The following is a 26989-nucleotide window of genomic DNA, read 5'->3' on the forward strand; positions in this document are numbered from 1 at the left end:
GTTAAGGAAGCCAAAGGAAGAGAGAGTTTGAAAAAGAAGGGAGTGTTTTATGGTTCTGAATTCAGCTAAGAGTTCAAGTAAAATACAAAAAGATTGTTTAAATTAAAAAAGCCATTGGATTTTGTAACTAAAAAGCATCAGTGGCCTTTTAGAAGCCTTTTTGGTAGTCTGGTAGTTTCAGGAGTTCAGTAAATTTGGTTAAAGAGTTAAGTGGGAGGTGATTGGATAGGATCATGGGAGGTGGGAGGTCATACTTTCATGCATTCTGGCTACAAAGAAGAGACTGAAGATGGTATGTGAAGGTGGTATTGAAATGGGAAAAGTTCCCTTGTCCCCCTTGCAGGGCGTGCCACAGTGGGGAGTGGCTCGCTTCTTCAGTGTCCTGCTGCTCAAACCTCTAGGGGAGGCTAGATGGGCAGGCTGTAGGGCTCTGACCCCATGGCAGCGTCTAGGGGTGAATGTTTACAGCTGAAGCCCCAGTGGGCGTGTGTCACAGAGTGCTCTTTTAGTTTTGCCGTCTGTAGGCGGCTTCTGTTAGCTCAGTTAGACTCCCTTCCTTATCTCAAGGACAGAGGGCTTTCTGTATCCTGGAGTTCTTGCCTTGGTGTAATGGAATAATTGAATCACTCGTGGGCTTGGAGAATGAGCGCAAGGTTTTGAGTGGAGGTAGCTCTCAGCAGATGGGGGAAGCCAGAAGGGGAATGGAGTGGGAAGTTTTTCCCCTGGAGTTGGGCCGCCCAGAGGCCGGGGCTCTCCAACGACTGCCCCAGCCAAACTCCGCGTTGTTGGCTTGCCGGTGTGCTGGTGCCTATTAGTGCGTTCCTCTCGCTGTCCAGCTGCCCGTGTGTTCCTCGGCTCGTGTGCTCCTCTCAACGTCCAGCCACCATGTGTCCGCCTGCTAGGGTCTCGGGGTTTTTATAGGCACAGGATGGGGGGCGTGATGGGCCAGGGCTGTATTGGGAAATACAACATTTGGGCACCAAGGCAGAAGTGCCTATACTCACCTAGGCCTGTGGGCCCAGGTCTGGGGGTAGAGCCCTCGCCAGGGACCACGCGCTCCCCTTCCCATCACTTCCCTGCCCCCTTTCTGTATGGGATGCAGGGAGGGCATGTGGGCTTGAGTATATTTAAATGCTGATAAGGAGTCAAGGATAGAGGTTGATACGAGAGTGGAGAAAATGGGGCAACTTGAGATGGGATGAATCCAAAGCACAGGGAGAATTAATCTTAGGATGGATACCCTCCAAAGTCAAGGGATGTTATTGGTGATGAGAAAGGCATATTCTGTTAGGATTAATTTCTAATATTGGGGGCTTCTTGAGGGAATAATACTTCTGGGGTTTCCTGAAAGTTCAGAATGGCAGGCATTAAAAGATGCCTGGGGCCAGGCGCGGTGGCTCATGACTGTCATCCCAGCACTTTGGGAGGCCAAGGTGGGTGGATCACCTGAGGTCAGGAGTTCGAGACCAGCCTGACCAACATGATGAAACCTCATCTCTACTAAAAATACAAAATTAGCTGGGTGTGGTGGTGCATGCCTGTAATCTCAGCTACTCGGGAGGCTGAGGCAGGAGAACCACTGGAACCCAGGTGGTGGAGGTTGCAGTGAGCCAAGATTGCACCATTGCACTCCAACCTGGGCAACAAGAGTGAAACGCCATCTCAAAAAAAAAAAAAAGAGAGAGAGAGATGCCTGTGACAGCCCATACTATTTCTGATTCCCTAGGGTCCACTGATCCCCAGAGATTCCATTAATTTGATAATGCTCTTTATTTTGGGTAGCTGGCATATACCAGAATTGGACCCTGAACCTATGGATTAAGTTTGGGTTTGGGGCCTAATTCTAGTCTAATAATCAGAGTAGCAGGGTGTTCTGAGACCCTCTGGAGACTTTTCCCATTGTCAAAGTACCTCTAGCCAGTCTACCTTAATTAGCAAAGATATCATTCCCATTATGATTCATCATGATTGACTGGTCTATATGATGGATTACTGATTGTAGAAAACTCTGGATTATTATAGTATTATGCTTAGAAAACCATTCTGTTCAAATGTTAAAGGGTTGACAACAGCTCACTTTCTTCTGTGGTTTAACGGAAAGAAAGTTCGCTGTGGAACCAGAAAAAAAATCTGGCTCCATCGGTGATTGAGCTATGGGGCCTTGAACATCCTGTGAGGATGTTACAGAGTCATTTACTCTCTGTAACATTACCTGGTAATGCCTAATGTGCATCATGGTTAGAATTGAAGGTCATGTATATGTACCATTACATTGTTGATATTAAATAAATAAGAACTGATAGTATTTTTATTGACTTAAAATAATTATTTTATTGACTTAAAAATAATATTTTTAAATATTTAATTATATAATTATTATATATATAATTATATAATATATTATTTATATAATTATATAATATATTATTTATATAATTATATAATATATTATATATAATTATATAATTTATTATTATATATAATTATATAATTTATTATTATATATAATTATATAATATATTATTATATATAATTATATAATATATTATTATATATAATTATATAATTATTTAAATAAAAATAATAACTATTATTTACTACTCTAGGGCCCTAAGTGAGCACTTATTGTTAGAATTTATTGTTAGAATTCCAGATCAAAATCAAGGATCTCATTTCTCCATGAATCTAAGAGCTATTATTGGTGATGTCTTTGGTATAAGTTTTTGTAAGGACAAAGGTTTTGTTACAGTCCTGGCCCTACTAAAACGTCTTTTATTGACCTGCATGCTATCATAGTAAATAGAGAGAAAAGAGATAAAATTCTAGACTTTTTAAGGTATATGGAAATAAATCAAATTTACTTACTTACTTTTTTACCGTGACCAATTTGGATCGCTGTCATTTTCCATGAATGTGTCTCAGGTTTTTGTTTTTTTAATAGAGAGAGTTAGCTGTTTCAACCTCTCTTTCTTTCGTCTAATAACTCCTCATTTTTTTCTCCCTCTTTTTTCATCTTCTTCCTTTCTTTCAGATTATTGGAAACTTTCTCATGTTGCAGCATTTGCTGCTATCAATTATGCCAGAAAAGCTTTCTGTGTACTAGCAGTGTTATGGGATCGTGTGTGTGTGTGTGTGTGCGCGTGTGTGTGAGACAGAGAGAGAGAGAGAGACAGAGAGAGAGAGGTGGGGGGGAGATTGAGATGGAAAGAGTGGCGGGGGATGAAGGAAGTGGGGGAGAGAAATAAATGGTGTCTGGGGTAATTGTGCTGGTGTTTTTTCCTGCATGAGAGAAGCTTCAGATGTCTGTCTGGCTTTGGCTCAGTTGCTGTATGGGCGTAACTGAAGAAGGAGGTTGGGGTAGAGGAGAAGGCAATTAAAACTTTGAACACCTTAAATGCCCTTCCTAATTAAGTGGTGAGGATGGAAAATGAAATACCTTCTTATGCTTCATTTCTGTTCTCCGTTTAAAAGTCTGTGGAGGGATCAGAGCTCATGTCCTTAGAAAGGACAGAACTTTCAAAATAACAACTCTGAAAAACAAGTTTAAAAAAAATTTCTCATCATTTTCTGCTTTTCATGAACTTTTAATATAAAGCCATCATTATTTTTTTTTCCTGGGCCCCCTTACCTATATCCTCTCCCCACTCTCATTAGTCACTCCAACTTTGAAGCACCCAATTCTCTGGAGTATTAATGGAGACAGTTCAAGTATCTAACTGCTGTTTCCTTTGTTCAAGTTGCTTTTGGTCCTTGCTGGGAAATGCTCTGAAAACTGAACCAGCTACTGAACACAAAGGCTGACGGTGTTGTCCCTCCTGGTAATGTACTGTGTGATTTGTTCCCCTCTCCTGTTCATGACTCATTAGTCTCTAAGTACAGAAAAGGTTGCTCCTCTGGAATAAAAGGAACGGACCCAGCTCGGAGTCCTTTTTCGCCTTTTCCTGTGTTTTATATGGGTGCACTCACAGTTCTCCATCTTCATTAGTGACCCAGCAGGGGGCTGGCACAGGGTTGAGACTAGCTTTTGCTGGTTCCCTGGGGTGTATCAGAGACCTCAGAACTCAATACCCTACTATAAAAATAAAATACTGTGCTTCAAACGACCTTTTGATGGAACAAAGCCATACATCCCAATCTGCCTGGGCCTCTCAAATTGAGACCATGCCAAGTGCCAGATTTGCATTTTGCACATGCCCTCCCACCATCCCCTTTCCCCCTTCCTCTAAATGTGGTTCTTTTGGTAGCCTCAGTGTCAGGTAAATGTTTATGTGTGTGTGAAAACGCAGACTTTGGCAAAAGACCTTTTGTATTTAAATTACACTTCAAGATAGTAGTTTCTTGTAAGAGATGTAGGCAGCAGATATTTGTGGGCTTTTATGCCCTAAATGATATCATTTTAGATTTATATATGTGGGCTTTTATGCCCTAAATTATATTATTTTAGATTTATATATGTGAGCTTTTATGCCCTAAATTATATTATTTTAGATTTATATATAAAGTTTAGGAAAGTAAGCGGAAACTAGAAGTGCTATAAAAAACTGAGTTACATATTAAAAATTCAAGTTATTTTTTCTGGTTTTCCAGAGTGGCCAAATTATTTTCTTATTTAAAACCTAGGCACCCTAGAGCCATGTGTGTGCATGTGAACTCTACTAAAGTGAGACACTGACATGAACATAGAGTCCATCAGACCTTTATATCAAGAGCTTGGAGTACTCAGAGCATCGTATCTCGTTAATCTTCCAGCATTGATGTGCTTTAGCTCTTGGGAACAGATTACTATACTTATTTTAAAGCAACAGGGCAAATAAAAATAGGGATCTTTTGGTATTGAATGACCAGCATAACTTTAGAAAATCCAACTCTCTTATCCTTCATTTTTACATCATAGTTACAGTAACAGGTTAAGATTAGCTTTTAACAGATTGTTCTAAATTTCTTTAGGTTTCAAAACATATTGCTATGACATTTAAGTAATACTTTTAAGACTGTATGAGACTTAGGGCCTTGGTTTGTAGAGAATATTCAGTTATTTAAGAAAAGTTCACTTTGATTCTATAGTAAAATAATGTACAGGTGCAAATGTGTGATGTTATTTTTGGTTTGTACTTCAGGTTTGCAAACATACCCTAATTTTTTACAGAAAGTATATGGTAGACTCTTTATTTTAAAAAATGTTCATAGTCTGGGTCTGTATGATTTTATTTATTTTATTTATTTATTTATTATTATTATTATTATTATACTTTAAGTTTTAGGGTACATGTGCACAACGTGCAGGTTTGTTACATATGTATACATGTGCCATGTTGGTGTGCTGCAACCATTAACTTGTCATTTAGCATTAGGTATATCTCCCAATGCTATCCCTCCCCCCTCCCCCCACCCCACAACAGTCCCCAGAGTGTGATGTTCCCCTTCCTGTGTCCATGTGTTCTCATTGTTCAATTCCCACCTATGAGTGAGAACATGCGGTGTTTGGTTTTTTGTCCTTGTGATAGTTTGCTGAGAATGATGGTTTCCAGCTTCATCCATGTCCCTACAAAGGACATGAACTCATCATTTTTTATGGCTGCATAGTATTCCATGGCGTATATGTGCCACATTTTCTTAATCCAGTCTATCATTGTTGGACATTTGGGTTGGTCCCAAGTCTTTGCTATTGTGAATAGTGCCGCAATAAACATACGTTTGCATGTGTCTTTATAGCAGCATGTTTTATAATCCTTTGGGTATATACCCAGTAATGGGATGGCTGGGTCAAATGGTATTTCTAGTTCTAGATCCCTGAGGAACCACCACACTGACTTCCACAATGGTTGAACTAGTTTACAGTCCCACCAACAGTGTAAAAGTGTTCCTTTTTCTCCATATCCTCTCCAGCACCTGTTGTTTCCTGACTTTTTAATGATCGCCATACTAACTGGTGTGAGATGGTATCTCATTGTGGTTTTGATTTGTATTTCTCTGATGGCCAATGATGATGAGCATTTTTTCATGTGTTTTTTGGCTCCATAAATGTCTTCTTTTGAGAAGTGTCTGTTCATATCCTTCACCCACTTTTTGATGGGGTTATTTTTTTCTTGTAAATTTGTTTGAGTTCATTGTAGATTGTGGATATTAGCCCTTTGTCAGATGAGTAGATTGCAAAAATTGTCTCCCATTCTGTGGGTTGCCTGTTCACTCTGATGGTAGTTTCTTTTGCTGTGCAGAAGCTCTTTAGTTTAATTAGATCCCATTTGTCAATTTTGGCTTTTGTGGCCATTGCTTTTGGTGTGTTAGACATGAAGTCCTTGCCCATGTCTGTGTCCTGAATGGTATTGCCTAGGTTTTCTTCTAGGGTTTTTATGGTTTTAGGTCTAACATGTAAGTCTTTAATCCATCTTGAATTAATTTTTGTATAAGGTGTAAGGAAGGGATCCAGTTTCAGCTTTCTACATATAGCTAGCCAGTTTTCCCAGCACCATTTATTAAATAGGGAATCCTTTCCCCATTGCTTGTTTTTGTCAGGTTTGTCAAAGATCAGATAGTTGTAGATATGTGGCATTATTTCTCAGGGCTCTGTTCTGTTCCATCGGTCTATATCTCTGTTATGGCACCAGTACCATGCTGTTTTGGTTACTGTAGCTTTGTAGTATAGTTTGAAGTCAGGTAGCATGATGCCTCCAGCTTTGTTCTTTTGGCTTAGGATTGACTTGGCAATGCAGGCTCTTTTTTGGTTCCACATGAACTGTAAAGTAGTTTTTTCCAATTCTGTGAAGAAAGTCATTGGTAGCTTGATGGGGATGGCATTGAACGTATAAATTACCTTGGGCAGTATGGCCATTTTCACAATATTGAGTCTTCCTATCCATCAGCATGGAATGTTCTTCCATTTGTTTGTATCCTCTTTTATTTCATTGAGCAGTGGTTTGTAGTTCTCCTTGAAGAGGTCCTTCACATGCCTTGTAAGTTCGATTCCTAGGTATTTTATTCTCTTTGAAGCAATTGTGAATGGGAGTTCACTCATGATTTGGCTCTCTGTTTGTCCGTTATTGGTGTATAAGAATGCTTGTGATTTTTGCACATTGATTTTGTATCCTGAGACTTTGCTGAAGTTGCTTATCAGCTTAAGGAGATTTTGGGTTGCGACGATGGGGTTTTCTAGATATACAATCATGTCATCTGCAAACAGGGACAATTTGACTTCCCCTTTTCCTAATTGAATACCCTTTATTTCCTTTTCCTGCCTGATTGCCCTGACCAGAACTTCCAACACTATGTTGAATAGGAGTGGTGAGAGAGGGCATCCCTGTCTTGTGCCAGTTTTCAAAGGGAATGCTTCCAGTTTTTGTCCGTTCAGTATGATATTGGCTGTGGGTTTGTCATAGATAGCTCTTATTATTTTGAGATACGTCCCATCAATACCTAATTTCTTGAGAATTTTTAGCATGAAGGGTCGTTGAATTTTGTCAAAGGCTTTTTCTGCATCTATTGAGATAATCATGTGGTTTTTGTCTTTGGTTCTGTTTATATGCTGGATTACGTTTATTGATTTTCGTATGTTGAACCAGCCTTGCATCCCAGGGATGAAGCCCACTTGATCATGGTGGATAAGCTTTTTGATGTGTTGCTGGATTCGGTTTGCCAGTATTTTATTGAGGATTTTTGCATCAATGTTCATCAAGGATATTGGTCTAAAATTCTCTTTTTTTGTTGTGTCTCTGCTAGGCTTTGGTATCAGGATGATGCTGGCCTCATAAAATGAGTTAGGGAGGATTCCCTCTTTTTCTATTGATAGGAATAGTTTCAGAAGGAATGGTACCAGTTCCTCCTTGTACCTCTGGTAGAATTCGGCTGTGAATCCATCTGGTCCTGGACTCTTTTTGGTTGGTAAGCTATTAATTATTGCCTCAATTTCAGAGCCTGTTATTGGACTATTCAGAGATTCAACTTCTTCCTGGTTTAGTTTTGGGAGGGTGTATGTGTCCAGGAATTTATCCATTTCTTCTAGATTTTCTAGTTTATTTGCATAGAGGTGTTTATAGTATTCTCTGATGTTAGTTTGTATTTCTATGGGATCGGTGGTGATATCCCCTTTATCATTTTTTATTGTGTCTATTTGATTCATCTCTTTTTTCTTCTTTATTAGTCTTGCTAGCGGTCTATCAATTTTGTTGATCTTTTCAAAAAACCAGCTCCTGGATTCATTGATTTTTTGAAGGGTGTTTTGTGTCTCTATTTCCTTCAGTTCTGCTCCGATCTTAGTTATTTCTTGCCTTCTGCTAGCTTTTGAATGTGTTTGCTCTTGCCTCTATATTGCATTTACAAAAAAGTAGATTGTCTCTTCCTCCTTGCTACTGCAAACAATGATGTGAGGAACATCCTGGTACTCTCCAGGGTATGTACTGAGGGGTAGGATTGTAGGGTCATCAAGCATACACACCCTGATGGTCACTAAATCCTGCCAGATTTCTTCCTGGAATGGCTGCACCAGTCTGCAGCCCACCAGTTGTGTAAGAACACTCCTGCTGCCCTACTTCTTTGCCAACATTTTATATGTTTAGACTTTCTCTTTTTTCCAAACTAATGGGTGTAAAGTGGTATTTAATTTTAAGTTGCATTTCTCTGATTACTAATGAAATTGAGTACCTCTTTATATTACTAGTTAGTTATTTGGCTTTTTATTGTTGTGACGATTTAAGATTTCATGTTGATGTAGATCTTAATTTTGAGTTGGTCAAACATATCACTTTTTAAAATCTTATACTTTATAATTTTAGGGCCCAGGGCCACAGAGTTATTTTCTGACGTTTTGTTTTCTGTTAGTCACATTTACATTCAGGCCTTGATTCATCTTGTGGTCACCTTTGGTTATATCAGCATCGTTTGAGGTAGCACATTCACACTCTCAAATACAGTGTGATAGTTTGGTATGCACTAGAGGGCCATGCTGTATCATGGATTCATTTTGAAAGAGTATTTAATGAAAAATATAAAAGAAGGCTATTCATAGCATATTGCCATTTATGAAAATTTAAAACACACACACATATATGTAAAACAACACTTAATATTTTTCAAAGAAACACTCCATATCCAAAGACAGATGCCAGACAATTAAGTTTTTGCTTATGAAGGTTTAGGAGGAAATGGGGGAGTAGTGATAAAGGGGGTAAAAAAATAAAATAAGCCAACAGAGGCCTTGGACAGACTGATAATAATAGTATACCCTGAATTGAGGAGTATGATTATCCCCACAGTCAGGGTGAATATAATTTAGGAGAGATGACCTCCTAATAGGTTAGTGATGAGCAAAGCTGGAAAAAGTTAATTGAAGAAAAGTAGAAATCAAATATTTCAGTTGTTCTGAATCATGAGTAAGATGCCTATAAGGAAGAAAAATTCTCCTAAATGACTACATCTGGTCATGCCTTCTTAGCTTTTAAAGTATTTTGTGATACACAGGAATTTATGTTTTTTTCCTGAGGTGAAGCTCTCTGTAAGAAGGAAAGCAGATGTTTCTTTTTAAGTGCTTGTATACACCTGCCACAAGGCAGACTGAGTAGTTCATATGGAGAGCAGGCTCGGGTTATTTTTTATGTTGCTTGTGAAATTAAAATTCTTTTCCTGGCAAGCATAGGTTTATAATTAAGTAATTTATCATAAGAGTTCTTTTAGCTATATCAAAAATTTGATGATATACAGAAGCAATATGTGAGTGGTTACTTAGAAATTAGATGAATGAGTTATTTCATTGGCATTTATCATTTGATGTGTAGGTTTTTCCTATTTATAACAAACATTGAACACTGACTAATTACCTGCAACTGAAAGAGGGTTAAAAAAAAAAAGTCTTAGTTGAGAACTGTATTCTCAACTTATTTTCAACCCACCAGTGCTCTTGAAGAGTATGATGCACTCCGATTAATAGAAGTTGTGCTCTCTTGGGATCATGCTTAATTGTGTTACAATATAAAGAAGTCTTCCTCCATGGTATTTATGGGTATGAAAAAAAAAGAAGTCTTTCTTTGCCAGATATGGATTTTGTACTTCCCTCCCTTCAATTTCATGTATACTGTTTTTTGTTTTTATTTTTCTGATTAGTTCCCTTGGTATCTGCCCTGCCCCATCCCCATTCATTTTGGTATTCACATACCCAATACCATAGTAGCACTTTATATTTACTTTGTTTACGCCTAATTACAGCCTGCATATTCTAGATAAAACAAACAGACTCAGCCAGGCACGGTGGCTCATGCCTGTAATCCCAGCACTTTGGGAGCCCGAGGTGGGCGGATCACGAGGTCAGGAGATGGAGACCATCCTGGCTAACAAGGTGAAACACCATCTCTACTAAAAATACAAAAAAATTAGCCAGGCGTGGTGGCGGGCGCCTGGAGTCCCAGCTACTCGGGAGGCTGAGGCAGGAGAATGGCGTGAACCAGGGAGGCAGAGCTTGCATGAGCCAAGATCGTGCCTCTCTCCAGCCTGGGTGACAGAGTGAGACTCCGTCTCAAAAAAAAAAAAAAAAAAAAAAAAAGAAACAGACTCAGAAAGGTTAAGTGATTTTTCGAGGGCCATAGAGTAATAAGTAGCAGAACCAGAATGTGAAGCCAAGTCTAACTCTAAAGCCCATCTTTTTCATACTTGACTATCCTATATTTTTCATGGATATTCTACAAAATCCATATTTTTATAGAGTATGATGTCTTCATTACGCTCCTCAATCTTTGAAGAGGATTTTAACCCTGCTCTTTGGTTCAGCTATTGCTGAATATTGACACCTTTAAGCTGCACCATAGAAAATTTGTATTCAGGCTCCTTTTAGAGATGAGTACTTCGAACTCTCTGCTATCCAGTTGCTCAAAAGTCTGTTTCCAAATGTATTTATAGAATATTGTGTGAATGACTTATTCTCCATCCATTTTTCTGGATTGTCTGCATTTTAGTTTCAGGCCAAGTCGTACCGTCCAAGAGCTATGTGCTTAACTCAGCTGCTTTTACCTCTTGCAGAGGTACTTTCTTCCTTCCTCCTACTCCTTTTCGATATTAAATCACTGGCCTTCAATGATGGATGTTATAGCAAACAGCTGAATAAAATTCAGTATTCTTTCTGTGGTTGAGCTTTCATTGAGGAGCCCACCTAGTACACCACATCCCATCGTTTTTGAGAGGACTTACAGATGAAATTCTTCTCAGATCTCAAGGTCAGGAAACAACGATTCATGTTTTTAAAATGCTTATTATGAATCTTATATTTGATTGTATTTTCCTCTTTACTTTGGTTGCCAGGAAGGCTAGAGCCAAATTTGCAAGATCATCTCTAATAGCTGCAAAGGAATAAATGATATGTGTGTGTGTGTGCCAGTCTTACTCCTGGCATTATTTTCTTATCTATGTTCCTGTTTGATTTCATCTTTCTTAATTATTTATTTTGTCAGTAATGAATGAATTGTCATAAACTGCCAAAAATCATTATGCTGGTGATGGATGCAAATATATAAATAACATGTGTAAGGACAATTAAGCTTTCCTGACTTGATAGTTAAATCTCATTCCTCCTAGAAGTATCACATGTATACATCCATCTTCCTCATTTGTTTTTCTCCTTTATTTTACTTCCTACACATTTTCAGTTGTTTATTATGGATTTCTCTCTTGATGAATGCATTCATACAATTTTAGAATTGTTGAGTATCAATATAAAAAGCTATTTTTTCTGAAAATTAGTCTCCTTATAATTTGTATTTTTCTTAAGTTCATATTTTTTAGTAAAAGTGTAAATTTCATAATTTTTATTAAAACATTTGCCTCCCTAAAGAAATTTAACTATTTTGGTTTTTTTTTTAATCTGAGAATAGGAGTAGGGAAATTTGGAGTCTCTAAGGCATGCCATGTAGAAGTTTTTGAACATTTATATAGAATGGATTGACTTTTTCTGCTTGTTCTTCTGTCTGTTGCCTAGTAGATGTCTCTAACTGGATATTCAAATGACACTTCAGACCATCTGAAACTTCACGTATTATTTCCCTCCCAAGTAAACTAGTCACCCAAACCATATACACAACAGTCAGACTCATTTGCTCACAGCTTTAAAGCAGGTTCTTTTCCATTTCCACTGCTATTACCTATTCCAAGTGCCTTGCACAACTTTGCCTAAGGAGACACTAAGAATTCTTCATTGAAGAGATGAAGAAATGAATGAATACAGGGATGAGTTTTCTTCATTTCATTGCTTCTGTCTAGACCACTGGAAAAACGTATCTTCCTTTATTCTGACCTCTTCTAATTCATGTTCTACAAAGTTATCAAAATGTTATTCTTAAAATGCAAATCATTCTTAAAATGATATACAAACACACATCATTCCAGGATTCATTTAGTTTAGTGCCAAGGCCTTTCATGCTAAGTTCCCTGCATCTTTCTGGTCTTACCTCCCACCATGTCTCTTTACTGACTTTGTTGCATCATCACGTGGCTGCATACTCCATTTCCTCCCATGTGCTGTTCATTCTGCAGAACATCTCACTGAAGCTTTACCTGGAGAACTCTACTCACTTTGCCTGTCGGATTCAGATGTCTTTCCTACTTGTTCTCATAGACATTTATGTACAGTCTCGTGACTCTTTTCATATTAAACTGTTATCATGACTGACTTACTTATCTAGGGGCTTTCTCTTAATCAACACAGGTTCTTTATTCCTGGATGGTATCCAACATTCCCTGAATAACCAGTGATTGTTTATTGGCTGTTTGACTGAATATAGAATAGAATAAGTCTGTAGCTTATAGTCCATTCTAACCACTCATTCTTTTCATAACTTTTATTGAGTGCTTACTATGTGCCAGCTTTTGTTTAAGAGATTGGCAATACTATAGTGAACAAAATAGTACCTGCCCAGGCAATTAAAAAGTAAGCAATTAGACATACAATGTTGGGTAGCATTATGTGTATATTAATCCAGTTTCACTCTGCTGATAAAGACATACCTGAGACTGGGTAGAAAAAGAGGTTTAATTGGACTTACAGTTCTGCATGGCTCGGGAGGCCTAAGAACCATGGTGGGAGATGAAAGGCACTTCTTACATGGCAGTGGCAAGAGGAAAAACGAGGATGATGCAAAAGTGGAAACCCCTGATAAACCCATCAGATCTCGTGAGACTTATTCACTACCATGAGAACAGTATGGGGGAAACTGCCCCAATGGATTCAGATTATCTCCCACCAGGTCCCTCCCACAACACATGGGAATTATGGGAGTACAATTCAAGATGAGATTTGGGTGGGGATACAGAGCTAAACCATATCACAGTGTTAGGAAGAAAATAAAGAGGGATAAGGAAATTCTAGAGCATATGCTCAAGCAAGGCATATCTAAAGAGGGAGCCTTTGAGCAGAGACCTGAATGCAATGAGAGACAAGTTGTGTCCATGGCGGTGTTGCTGGGGAGGTGGTTCTGGGCAGAGAGAACAGCATTTCTGTGCTCCTATTATGTACCAGGCTCTGTTCTAGGGGTTCTGGAGACAGCAATGGAGAAGGTTGTTAAACATCAGCATTGTTTATTATTTAACCATGCAGTCTGTTCTTTTTCAATATTATGTCATAGTTCAAAACTCCTCCTTTCTTTAATTGCTAGGTTTAACGAAGTTGAAAAACCCTAACTTGGGAAAGTCTCTTTGTTCTCCCCAGCTGCTAATCACTTCCTACTCTTTGTTGTGGAAGAGAACACATAAAGTCTTATTATTTAGAGGCCCCTAACAGAATAGGATACTGGTCCTGGGGACAGATCCCCAACTATCTGAATTTAATCATGATGCTCAGGGATGTGTGAAAGTGTCTTAGGTGTTCATGTCTTTGACGTTTGACCTAGGTTATAGATGTCTGTGAAATTCTGTCACCATAATTAGATATAGATACTACTGATTTCCTTTTCCCAGTCTTCCAACCCAGCCTATGACCCTGAGTAAAACCTTCTTAAATTCTTTTACTTCAGTAGCACACAAAAAATCATAATTTTGGATCCTGTTCCTTGCTCTGTCACCTGCTTGCTGCAGTTAAGTCTGCTCTGTGGCAGTTTTCCATTTGCAAGCAGGGCACCCTTCCAGTTAAGTTGTAAAATTTTATGTTTAAGTAAGCCCCTGTGCCCTTGAAGAATAGGAGCTACAGGAATGTAGAGTCCAAAGAGAAAAAAAAAGAAAGAGCATTCCTAAGAAAACTGTGTAAATTTGCAAATTCGTTTTCTTCTGGTGGCAGCTGACAGGTGGAATGACAACCCAACCAAGTAACACTAGGCCCTTGTGATAGGAGGGAACTTAATGCTGCGGTTGTTCTGCTTAGATGGAATTGTGTGGGGCTGTGCCAATGCCTGTATTGAGAAAGCCCAGTCGAGCAGAAGAGTTTTTGGTTTCTGCATTTAGAACTGCCGAACAACTGAGGAAAACCGATTAAATCTGGAAGGTGGCAGCTCACTTGACAGGCTTCTCCAGGCACCTTTGAGGAGAATCAAAGATAAATAAACACATTTTATGAGAGGAGTATGGGGTGAGAGGGAGTGTTTGGACAAGAGTTAAAATTTCAAAGGGAGGGGGAAGTTCTTTTTGACTTTTCTCCTGATTAGACTCTTGCCTCATGTCTTTGTTAATGTACAAATTAGAGTTTGTCCCTGTCTACATGGGTAAGCTTGATGGGAAAGGAAGAAGATAGAAGTATATTTTCAAAGACCTCAACTATAGAAGGTAGAAGGAAACTGATCAAATATGAATTTCTTTATTAGAAAAAAGTGGCTTTAAAAACTATTTTATAAGTCATATTGGATACTCATGTGCCTGTGGAACATGCAAAAACTCTGGCCTGTTGCACAGAGGTTTGATTTTGAAACTGTCTAATTTTATTTATTTAAATTTTTTTAGAGACAGGGTCTCACTGTGTTGCCCAGGCTCTTGAACTCCTGATCTCAAGCAATCCTCCTGTCTCAGCCTCCCAAAGTGCTGAGATTACAAGCATGAGCCACTGCACGTGGCCCAAAGTCTGTAATTTTTTTCAGTAAAGATTGATGGACTTTCATTACGGCCTGGTCTAGTGTGCAGTGAGTTGCCTTGAGGTCAGGTAGTACTTGACACCCCTTATTTACTGGGTATGGACCCTGTTCTCTCATCCTTCCATTGTGCTTTACTCTTTTTTTCTCCGTGAACAATTTTTACTTGAGCTTGACTTACCTCAAAGGGGCTATGAATATTGAATTGGCTAAAAATAATTCATAACATTCTAGATATATGGAGCCTTAGAGATCATTGCCCTCTTCCCCATTTTGCAAAGAGTAAATAAAGTGAAGCCCAAAAGTGTTAAATTGCTGCTGGCCTAGGGGCATTCAGCTACCAAATATGTATGCAGGAACTCCACCCAGATCCTGACCACACTATTAGTCTGTTCTCACCTGCTAATGAAGACATACCTGAGACTGGTAATTTATAAAGGAAAGAGGTTTAATTGACTCACAGTTCTGCAGGGCTGTGGAGGCCTCAGGAAACTTACAGTCATGGCAGAAGGGGAAGCAAATATGTCCTTCTTCACATGGTGGCAGGAGAGAGAAGAATGAGCTAAATGGGGAAAAGCCCCTTATAAAACCATCAGATCTCGTGACAACTCACTCAGTATCACAAGAACAGCAGCATGTTGTAACCACCTCCAAGATTCAATTACCTCCCACCAGGTCCCTCTCATGACACATGGGGATAAGGGGAACTGTAATTCAAGGTAAGATTTGGGTGGGGCACGGCCAAAACTTTATCATTCCACCCCTGGCCCTTCCCAAATCTCATGCCCTCATACTTCAAAACATAATCATGCCATTCCAAAAGTCTGGCAAAGTCTTAACTCATTCCAGCATTAACTCAAAAGTCCAAGTCCAAAGTCTCATCCGAGACAAAGTAAGTCCCTTCTGCCTAAGCCTGTAAAATCAAAAACAAGTTAGTTACTCCTAGATACAGTGGGGGTACAGGCATTGGGTAAATACACCCATTCCAGATGGGAGAAATTGGCTAAAATAAAGGGGCTACAGGCCCCATGCAAGTCCAAAATCCAGTAAGACAGTCAAATCTTAAAGTTCCGAAATGATCTCCTTTGACTCCGTGTCTCATGTCTAGGTCACACTGATGCAAGAGGTGGGCTTCCATGGCCTTGGGCAGCTCCACCCCTGTGGCTTTACAGGGTACAGCCTCCCTCCCAGGTGTTTTCACAGGCTGGTGTTGAGTGTCTGTGGCTTTTCCAGGTGCACGGTGCAAGCTGTCAGTGGATCTGCCTTTCTCAGGTCTGGAGGACAGTGGCCCTCTTCTCACAGCTCCACCAGGCAGTGCCCCAGTAGGGACTCTCTGAGGGGGCTCCAACCCGACATTTCCCTTCTGCACTGCCCTAGCAGAGGTTCTTTATGAGGGCTCCACCTCTACATTAGACTTCTGCCTGGACATCCAAGTGTTTCCATACATCCTCTGAAATCTAAGTGGAGGTTCCCAAACCCCAATTCTTGTCTTCTGTGCATCCATAGGTCCAACACCACATGGAAGCTGCCAAGGCTTGGGACTTGCACTCTCTGAAGCAATGGCCTGAAATGTACCTTGGCCCCTTTTAACCATGGCTGGAACGAAGCAGCTGGGACACAGGGCACCATGTCCCAAGGCTGCATAGAGCAAGGAGGCCCTGGGCTTGGTCCACAAAACCATTTTTCCCTCCTAGGCCTCTGGGCCTGTGATGGGTGGGGCTGCCATGAAGACCTCTGACATGCCCTGGAGACATTTTCTCCATTGTCTTGGCAAGTAACATTTGACTCCTTGCTACTTAAGCAAATTTCTGTAGTCTGCTTGAATTTCTCCTCAGAAAATGGGTTTTTCTTTTCTATTGCAATTTTTTAAAACTTTATGCTTTGCATCCTTTTTAAACATAGATTCCAATGCCAAACCATCTCTCTCAAGTTCAGGGTTCCCCAGATCTCTAGGGCAGGGGCAAAATTCCACCAGTCTGTTTTCTAAAGCATAACAAGAGTCAACTTTGCTCCATTTCCCAAAAGTTCCTCATCTTTGTCTGAGACCACCTCTACCTGGACTTCATTGTCCATATCACTATCAGCATTTTGGTCAAAGCCATTCAACAAGTCTCTAGGAAGTTTCAAACTTTCCCACATCTTCCTGTCTTCTGAGCCCTCTAAGTCTCTAGGAAGTTCCAAAATATCCTACGTTTTTCTTTCTTCTTCTGAGCCCTCCAAACTGTTCCAAACCCTGCTTGTTACCACTTCCAAAGTTGCTTCCACATTCTTGGGTATCCTTATAGCAGCACCCCACTCTACTGGTACCAGTTTACTATATTAGTCTGTTCTTATGCTGCTAATAAAGACACACCCAAGAGTGGGTAATTTATGAAGGAAAGAGGTTTAGTTGACTCACAGTTCCACAGGGCTGTGGAGGCCTCAGGAAATCATGACAGAAGGGGAAGCAAACATGTCCTTCTTCACATGGCAGCAGAAGAGACAAGAATGAACAAAATGAGGAAAAAGCCCCTTATAAAACCATCAGATCATGTGAGAACTCACTATCAGAAGAACAGCATGGGGGTAACCACCCCCATGATGCAGTTACCTCCCACTGGGTCCCTCCCATGACACATGGGGATTATGTGAACTACAAGAAAAGATTTGGGTGGGCACACAGCCAAACCAGTCAACCCCCACACCAATGCATGTCTTTTGAGTTGCTTAGAGCTCAATATTGCATAAGTGGACTATAGCAGTTTACTTTATTGACTTATAAAACATAATTAATAAAATAATTAAATGTATTCCCTGTATAATTCAAAACCTCAGGAGTTATCATAATAGTTTCAATCTCTTTTTCTATCATACCTCTTATGAGAAACTAGAAAATAAATTACCACTTTGAGTTTCAGTTTGTGTTTATTTTCTTGCCATGAAGAGTATGATGATAAAAAAACATAAAATGAAGTGGCCCAGAGGCAGGCAACCAGAAGGTGAGGAACAAAACCAAAAGTAATAGATTATTAGATGCCAGTAACTAAGATTCTAAATTATTACTCTTACGAATATAGTGTGGGTTGCTTTAACTATTTCGTTATAATGTTTATGTCTGCACCCATTTCTCATTTCTTTTTCCTAGTGTGCAAAGTTAATTTAAAGTGTTAGTACAAATTGAGGAAGGGAAGTCTCTCCAGATTTCATTAGAGGATAGACTGAATAAGAACATGTCCTACCCGCAAGGACAAAGGAGAAGAAAATATATTCTTGACTGTTTCAGACCACTTCAGATAAGGAGGAGACAATTTAAAAAATTAATTTAAAAAAACACATTAGGATCAAATAACCCCTCCAAAGAAAGGTGTTCTATGGATGAGAAATGTAATTACTGCTGTAAAAATGTAGGGAATTTTGCACGTTTAATATAGTTTGTCTCCTATTAGAAGCACTAGTTGGCATTTTTCAGTATTAGGGTTGTGGCTTGCCAGGCCCACCCTCCTGCTGTGTTTGTTTCAGGGAATAGAACTTACCCAGTCGCAGGTTTCAGAAGAGCTGAGGTAACCTCCTTCAATGTGACACAAGTACTGTTTATGTTGGAGACAAATCCCAGAAACTCAAGGTAACAACGTACACAGAGTGAGAGAGTATATGCAAGAGATTTTTATTTGGCATTTTTACTGCTAACAGTCTACAGAAGTTTTAGTATTTAGTGCCAGTTCAGGCTTAAGGGGTAGTTTCTATTTCTGTGTGATTTTGAAAGGTTTAAAGAATCAGCAAATTATTATATAATAGATAATAAAGAATAAAGATTCTGGCTTCTATGGAAGCTTGCAAAGATATGAGGGAGGGCAAACAACTGCTTCTACGTGTTTTGTTTTGTTTTAAGAACTCAAAAAAGCATGGTAGGTTCTTTGAGCAAGGCCTTAGTTGTCAAAAGTTTCTGAAGCCCTCAAACCAATAAATAGTATTATTACTAATTAAAAGAGCAGATAAACTGAGAAACAAAGCACTTAGACCTAGGGTGACATGGTGAGACCAAAACTGAATTCTGTGTCTTAAAATTCAGTTATCTAATCTCCCCACTTCATTGCATATTCTACTAGCAGTCATTCAGTAAAGTACCTTTCATCACTGCAGGAGTCTCTCTGAACACAGTGGCTTTGGAATAGGGTTATCTCCAGACATTGTTGACATCATGTCTCTGCTCACATACCAATTGAGTGAATATTGGCCCACATGATTCTTGTAAGTGGATTACAAGAAATCCACGATAGACTTCATTCACTTTTGATGAAACCAAGAACTTTCCCTCTTGAGCTACCTAATGAGATACTGTTATTTGTTTATTATGCAGGGTACAGGTTGGGGCTTGTTAGCTCTCTGAATTCTTAAGCACTCAACTGAGGAAATCAAATGCATGATTTTACTATGCCTGCACAGGAGTTGGAGAAATTCATAAAGTTTATACTTTACTAGTTTTCTTAAGAATACAGATGTAAATAGGCTGTTAAGTCTGCCCAGGCAGAACTGTTGTTTCAGATGAAACTTAATGACCACACCCTCCCACCCCAATGGAGATTGAAACAGTTGGAGAAACTTTAGTTTGAAAAATATTTACTTTAAACTAAACTCCAGGAATCTTTTTTTTTTTTTTCCCCTTGGTGAGAAAGATATTCTCAGGTCTATTCGGAGATAGCAATATCTTTAAAATCATGCAAGAAACAAAATTTCGGAGCTTCTCAGTGGTTAGGAATAGCTTCGGACAATTTACCTAATTGGGCTTCAGTTTCCTGACCTGTATAAAACAAGAGGATTGGTAAATGCTCTCCAACATTGCTTGAAGCTCCTAGGTTCTCTGGTTACTTTGTTATCGTCATAAAATGATAATTTAAAAATTGATGTATATGCATGATTTTATGTATGTATGTTATATATGTATGATTGATTATACTTGCCTATGTATGGAAAATTTCAGGTTGTTAATAAGAAACTCGTTTCTTTTGGAGAGGAGGACTATGGGCCTGGGGGTCAGGATGGGAGAATTTTGCATTATTTTATACTTTCTGTTTGCTTGTTTTTTACTAAGTATGCATTGTTTAAAGATTTTAAAAATAGATTGGTTTTGTTATTATTTTAAAAGGATGAAAGGAAGACTTTCAAATTATTGTAAAATCTATACCCAGGATAATAATAATTGGAATTTCATTTCAGACTCCAAGTTTAAAGTATTTGTAATTATAAGTAGACTTTTGCTTTTATTATAGTAAGAAAAGTCTTTTAAATTCTCTTCTTCAATGAAAGCAACCACTTTTGTTTGGTGAAACAAGCAGCATTTACAAGCACAGAAACAAGGTTTAGCAATATTAGTGACAGGATTATATACCTTCTATTTATTGGGTCCTCTAAAAGATCATCTTCCTTTGATTTGCAACTATGGGAATGAAATAGAAGTGGGAAAAATTAGCTTTTAAACCAATTAGTTAGTAATGACTAGTGCCAAGTTTAAAGTGTTTCAGAGTGTTATTGCGGTGTTTTAAATGTAAAACACTAGCTCCCTCTTAATCTTTTTAGAAGATAAAACTGCAGGAAATGAAAAAGTGGTCAGTTGAAACAGCAGAAGGCATTTTAGAGGCTGCATATAGTAACTGGACTTGGATTTTGGTTTGAGCATTCGTTTTGTTCTATTTTCCTATTTTTACAAATATTTGTATTAGGTTTTGAGAAACTATAAGAACCCAGAAACTAGATGTTTCTAGCTTGACATATTTGTGGGGTTCTTTTTATTTTTATCATTTCTACTTTTGTTTCTTACTTAAAAAAATGAACTTAAGGAAATATACAGAAAAAATAACTCAACAATCATTTTCATTTAAAAAAAATTAGAGTACTTTCTAGCATGGTTAATATATCATTATAATCAATATGAAGTAGATGTGGTAGGTTTTTTTATTTCCAGTTGTTCTGTCAAACCTTGAACATTTTGCCCTATCTGGCACAATGTTTTCTAGCCTTTTCCATATTCAACAATGTCAAGTAAGTAAAAGTTAATTTAAAATGAACTTCAGTGTTTGTGTCACATTGGAGTTGTTAAAGTTCTCCTTTGTTCTTTCCAGGTTTGCATTGCCTCTGGCTAAATTTATTTGTATTTCCATTCCATGCAGGGTATGGTAGCACTGTGATTCAGCTTACTTAGTACTTCATTGGAACGTTGGGTTATTTATGCTAAAGTCAATAATCTCATAGTGATGATGATGATGATAACCATTGCTGTCACTTATTGAGTCCTTACTTTTGGTAGATACTACATTAGACTTTTAAAAAACTCATTTAATGGGTATTCATTGAACACCTTTTATGCCCCAGGCATTGATTTAGGAGCCAAATACATAATAGTTAACAAGACAAAGTCCTGGCCCATAAATATATTGTTTCTAATCCACATAAAACCTTGCAAGGCAGGTATTGTCTTAATTTTATAGATGAGAAAACTGAGGCTACAGAAGGAGAACAAAGTTTTCAGCATTTTATAGCCTGTGAGTGACCAGTCTATTTAATTCCAGTCTGTACTTTGCTCTGTTCTCCTGCCTCAAGATAGATCAGTATTATTTCCCTCTTCATTAAGATGTTTATAAACATTCAGGACTGGTATAAACATGCTTGGCTATGACACAGTTAAGCTGACAGGGATATAGGATGTGAAGTCTATAAACAATTATTCCTTTTTTACCTTAGTGCTCCATGAGAGCTAGAAGAGACGCTAAAACCTAGTACTTTTCACATCAAAAAACGTAAAATACTAAGGAATAAATTGAACCCCCAAAAGTATAAGATTTGCACACTGAAAATTATAAAACATTGTTGAAAGAAATTAAAGAAGCCTAAATAAATGGAAAGATGTCATATATTCATGAATCAGGAGACTTAATATTGTTAAGATGGAAATACTATCTACGTGGATCTACATAGTCAACAAAATTCCTATCAAAACCTTAACCAATACTAAAATTCACTGGGATCCAGAATAGCCATAACAATCTTCAAACAATCTTTTAAAGAAGAAGAAAGTTGGAAGACTCATATTTTCCAGTTTTAATACTCAGTATAAAACTATAGTAATCCAAACAGTGTGGTCCTAGCATAGGATAAAAATACAGATCCATGAATTATAAATGAGAGTTGGGAAGTAAACTTTTTCATTTTTGATTAATTGAATTTTTACAAGGGTGCCAAGACAATTCACTGGAGAGTAGTCTCTTCAACACATAATACTGGGACAATTTACAGCCACATACAAAAGAACGAAGTTGAATTGGTACTTTACAGAACACATCAAATGGATCAGACACCTAAATGTATGATCTAAAACTATAAAACTCTTAGAAAGAGGCCATAGAGCACAATCTTTGTGACCTTGAAAGACAGTCCACAGAAAAGAAGAAAGTAATTGCAAATCTTACATATGATAAGGGTCTAGTATCCAGAAAATATGGAGAACCCTTATAATATACCAATAGAAAGACAAATAATTAAAAGTAGATTAATAATTTTAATAGATTTTTTCCAAAGATGATGTGCAAATGGCCAATAAGCACATGAAAATATGCTCAACAGCATCAGTCATTGATGGAATACAAGTCAAAACCATAATAAGATACCACTTTTTACCACTAGGATGGCTATGATAAAAAAGATAGACAATAACAAGTGTTGGTAAGAATATAAAAAAAATGGGAACTCACATTCCTCAAAAAGTTAAACATAGAGTTACCATAGGACCTGGCAATTCCACACCTAGGTATATACCCAAGAGAACTGAAAATATGTTTACACAAAACTTTGTACATAAATATCCATAGCAGCATTATTCATAATAGTCAGAAAGTGGAAACACCTAAATGTCTCTCAACTGATGAATGGATAAACAAAATGTGGTATATTTGTACAGTGAAATATTATTTAGTAATGAAAGGAATAAAGTAGTGATACATGCGTCAACATGGATGAACGTTCTGTTAAGTGACAGAGGCTAATCACAAATAGCTAGATGTTGTATAATTCCTTTTATACAAAATGTTCAGAATAGGCAAATTCATAGAGACAGAAGAGAGATAAGAGATTGCCAGGATCTAGAGAGAGGCAGGAATGGGAAGGGACAGTGACTACTAATGAGTATCGGGTTTCTTTTCAGAGTAATGAAAATGTTCTGGAATTAGATATTGGTGATGGTTATAAAACTCTGTGAGCACTCTAAAAACACTGAATTATATACTTTAAAAGGGCGAATTTTATGATATGTGAGTAATATCTCAATAAAATTGTTACGTATATATTTTTTAAACCTATTAATTTGGCTTCGGTGGTTTGGATTTAGTCCACCACTTCAATTATCTGTTTGTGTCTGGGTTATTGCAATTCAAGTACAATATAGTCTCAACCTTTATTGTCTATGAGGATCTTCAATTTTCATTATTTTATCAATCTGCTTGTCTATTGCCTTACTTTATACCAGCTAGACTTATTATATACAGGCAAAAACTGATACAGAGCAATATGATATATTTTCTTCTTGATTCCTTTTTTAAAAACTTAATGTTATATTACTTTTCAAACCAAGAGTGGCATATTGTTGTAATTATATCATTAAAAAATGTGTTTATTTTCAAGAGTATGGATTTGATTTAGAAACTGCTTTTCCTGCATTCTCTATTATTCATGGCATTTGATGACCACACACTTGAAGTGCTCCCTGGCCAGAGCGTAAGAGTCTTGGGGGTGGGGTCAGTATAGAAATGATTAATGGTTTGTTAAAATGCAGGCAAGTTGAATATGACTTTTATAATGTGGCTGTGAGACCAGCTTATGGTATGAATTCATACATGTCTCTCTCTTTTGTAAACATGTTATCGAAGTAGGTTTTATTTCTTGAATGCTCTGGCCTGGTGCTAATGAGATGTGTGAGTGTCCTACCCAAAGCATTATGTAACAGGAAGCAAAGTTTTCTGAGGGAAATAAGAAGCTTACTAGAAAGAGAAGATAAAATCTTTGCTGGGGAATGGTTCTTTTCCATTAGCATTCCCAGTGCATTTCTCCAGAAGTGTGCCTAGGAATCCTCTGCTGTAGTTGCTAGATAATATTCCCTCTTTTTCAGGGTGATTGGAGAAAGAAAGCAGTTATTTGGGGCCTGGAGTATATAGATAGCAAGGAGCCATGGTTCTGAATGTGGTGATTGGCCCAGGCATTCTTGCTAGTGATGGAAATAGAGGGCTGAACAGGAAAGAGTGGGCAGCAGTACTTGATAACATGAGGCACTGGTAATACCAACTTCATGTCTGGTCTTCCCATTTAAAATGGATTATATTTTAGCCTCTCGTCAGATTGAATGCTAAGTATCCCTACAGTCAATGCCTGCAAAATCTTTGGCGTACTTACTTCAACCAAAACTTAAACTCAAAGAGGAATATAGTGTAAACTTTGGTTTAACTGAACATAGAAAGATCACACAGAGAGCCCTGGTTTTATTGCTTGGAAACATGATGAGATGTAAGTACTGTCAATAGATTGGAGACTCTAGGCCCAAATTTCACTGAAGTTCATAAATGTCTGCTAATTTCAGGGACCATCATACTTAGGAGCTAGTATACTAAGAAATTGGAAAGTAAGTTTAACATGTCTTTTGTGAAAGGTGGAAATTTAAGATAGGGACACAGCTGTCTGCAAGGGACAGTAGGCTTGTTTTTTGAGGCACTCTGTGGCATTCAAGATCCTAGGGGATTTGAAACTCAGAGAATGGTACAGTGAACATAAGAGGGGTGGAAAAAAGTGGAGGATGAAGTGGTTATCTGTGTCAAAAGGAACTGAAAGGTGTTCATACTGTTCCACAATCCCCTCTTCTTACCATTATTAGTTAGGTAAAGAGACAAAACTGAATGGCTTCCCTTTCTCCATCTGTCTCAAGATTGTTTCCTGCCTTGGTTGAAAGGAAAAGAGGGAGGGAGCAAAGTGGCATTACTTACTTTGGTCTCTCTTTTTAGATCTTTGGGTCCCAAAAGTCTTATTGGTGAGAATATCTGGTTTCATAAGCAGAAGTGGGAAAAATAATTATTACTACTTATTGAACATAAGAACTGTGCTAAACACCCTAATAACATTATTTAATCCGTACAACTTTTTTGTATAAGCATTTATCTATAAGTTAATACATGTGAAGCACTTAGAACTTAGAATGAGAGCCCATTAAATGTTAATACCCATTTTGGAGATAAGAGAACTATACCTTAGCATTGGTAGAATTTTAATACATGATTGTTAAACTCAAAAGCCCATGATCTATTATGCGATACTGTGGCTCTCTTCCTTAAGAACTCAGCTTCCTTTACAAAAATCTTCCCTGATATTCTCCTCTATATGCATTTAGAATCATACCTGTTTTTCAATTCTATATTTTGACTAATTCCAGGTTGTCAGTCCTAAATCCTCTTACTCTCCCTGCACTTATCCCTGAGGAAGTTCATTCTTCAGATTATCAAGGTCTGGACCAAATTTATTTAGTGAGAATGTGGAATTTTTCTTACAAGATTTTAAAATGACAAGTAAGATAATTACATGAAAGGATCTGTCTAGGCTCTTTTTGCATTGTAGGGGGTGGACCAAGTAACCTTTGGATCACTTCCACTTGTATAATTCACCATTTCGGCAGGACAGTAACATTTCAGGCCAAAGTTCAACTTTTTTTTATTATTAAATTCTTTTATTGTCGCCAGGAAACTAGAGAAAATGAATTCTTCACAGTATGCTTGTGCATGCAACTTGAAACGGTTTGCACACTAAATGAAATTAAATGAAAGACAGCTGTTTGAGAAAGAGCTGTCAGAAACTGATTGGGTTCTATTAGAGAAGAATAGAGGCCAGGAATAAGTTTTCAGAAACAGGATATCAGTGGTTTTAAAAGCAAGCAAATTTATACACACAAAAGCTCTCATGTGGTTGTGCTGTTACATGTCTTTTCAGTTCATCCATCTTAAATTATTTGCTTTTGGTGAGTAGGTGTCTGCTTTCAAGGCTTTCTTTCACATATTGAATGTGTGACAGTTCTCTCTTTTCTGAGAAGTAAATACAACACAACCCCACTACAATACCATCCTACGTACTTTGGTTTTGGGTAAACTGAAAATCCAGTAATGTTCACCAAACTACTTCCTTTGTCCAGTACCTCTCTGTTCCTGCCAAAATACAAAGGGAAAGGACCATCTTGGGCAGGTTGCCAGAAGTGCCACCTGGGTCTCCTGAAATGGCTGTCAGCAAGAAGGGAGCAATTACATCCCATAACAGACTCAAAGCAGATGGTCACCTGCGGTGATAAGTATTACATTATTAAGCCTTTGATTTGTGATTGTACTTTGTGCTTTCCAGGCACTGAAGTTATGTTACTTGTGCGATGTTCCTCTCTGTTCCCCTAGACCTCATTGCTCGTTGTTTGGCCATGTGTTCCCATGGCTTATCCTCCAAAAAGCTTTATTCTGCAATCTTCTAACTCTCCTGCAAGAGGCTAGCTCATAATAGGATCTCTGCCAGGCCCTCCAGCAGTAGGTATGGTGTTATTACATGGAGTTACCTTTAAAGGAATTTTTAAAAGCCTTTGGGGCTTTACTGTGGAAGCATAACTTAGTCACAGTATAACCTCATATAGGAAATTCAGTTAGTGTTCAGAGTTAGGAGTCCTAGTATAACATTGCACTCATTGAGATTTAGTCTCTGGAGTCTCTTCTTCCATTGAATTTTTATGTTTTCAGCCCTATTTAACAATGGTCTTCCATAATGCATTGAGGCTCAATCTCAACTGTCCTCCTTTGAGATCTCGCTTGCCATCCCCTCCACACCTTCTTTATTTTCTGAAGATTTAGAATACAAATTTATAGTCTCTCCTATAGCTGAAGTTAGGAGTCACTTGATTCATAGGGTGCCTAGCTCCCTGGACTAAGATAGATGGC

At 38.1% G+C, this 26989-nt stretch overlaps 1 protein-coding gene across 12 annotated transcripts in view, besides 1 other annotated feature; it reads left to right on the forward strand.

Annotated features, from left to right (window-relative positions):
* The window catches only part of RAD51B (RAD51 paralog B), an 863318-nt gene that overhangs the window by 265693 nt on the left and 570636 nt on the right, over positions 1–26989 (forward strand). The window lies entirely within an intron of this gene.
* Positions 787–1337: an enhancer, noted in NCBI's record as "H3K4me1 hESC enhancer chr14:68552975-68553525 (GRCh37/hg19 assembly coordinates)". NCBI's record gives its function as "activates a minimal SCP1, AML or CMV promoter by ChIP-STARR-seq in primed H9 embryonic stem cells {active_cell/tissue: H9 hESC(primed)}" and the evidence as "EXISTENCE:reporter gene assay evidence [ECO:0000049][PMID:30033119]".

Source organism: Homo sapiens, chromosome 14, assembly GCF_000001405.40.
Source record: "Homo sapiens chromosome 14, GRCh38.p14 Primary Assembly".
NCBI lineage: Eukaryota > Metazoa > Chordata > Mammalia > Primates > Hominidae > Homo > Homo sapiens.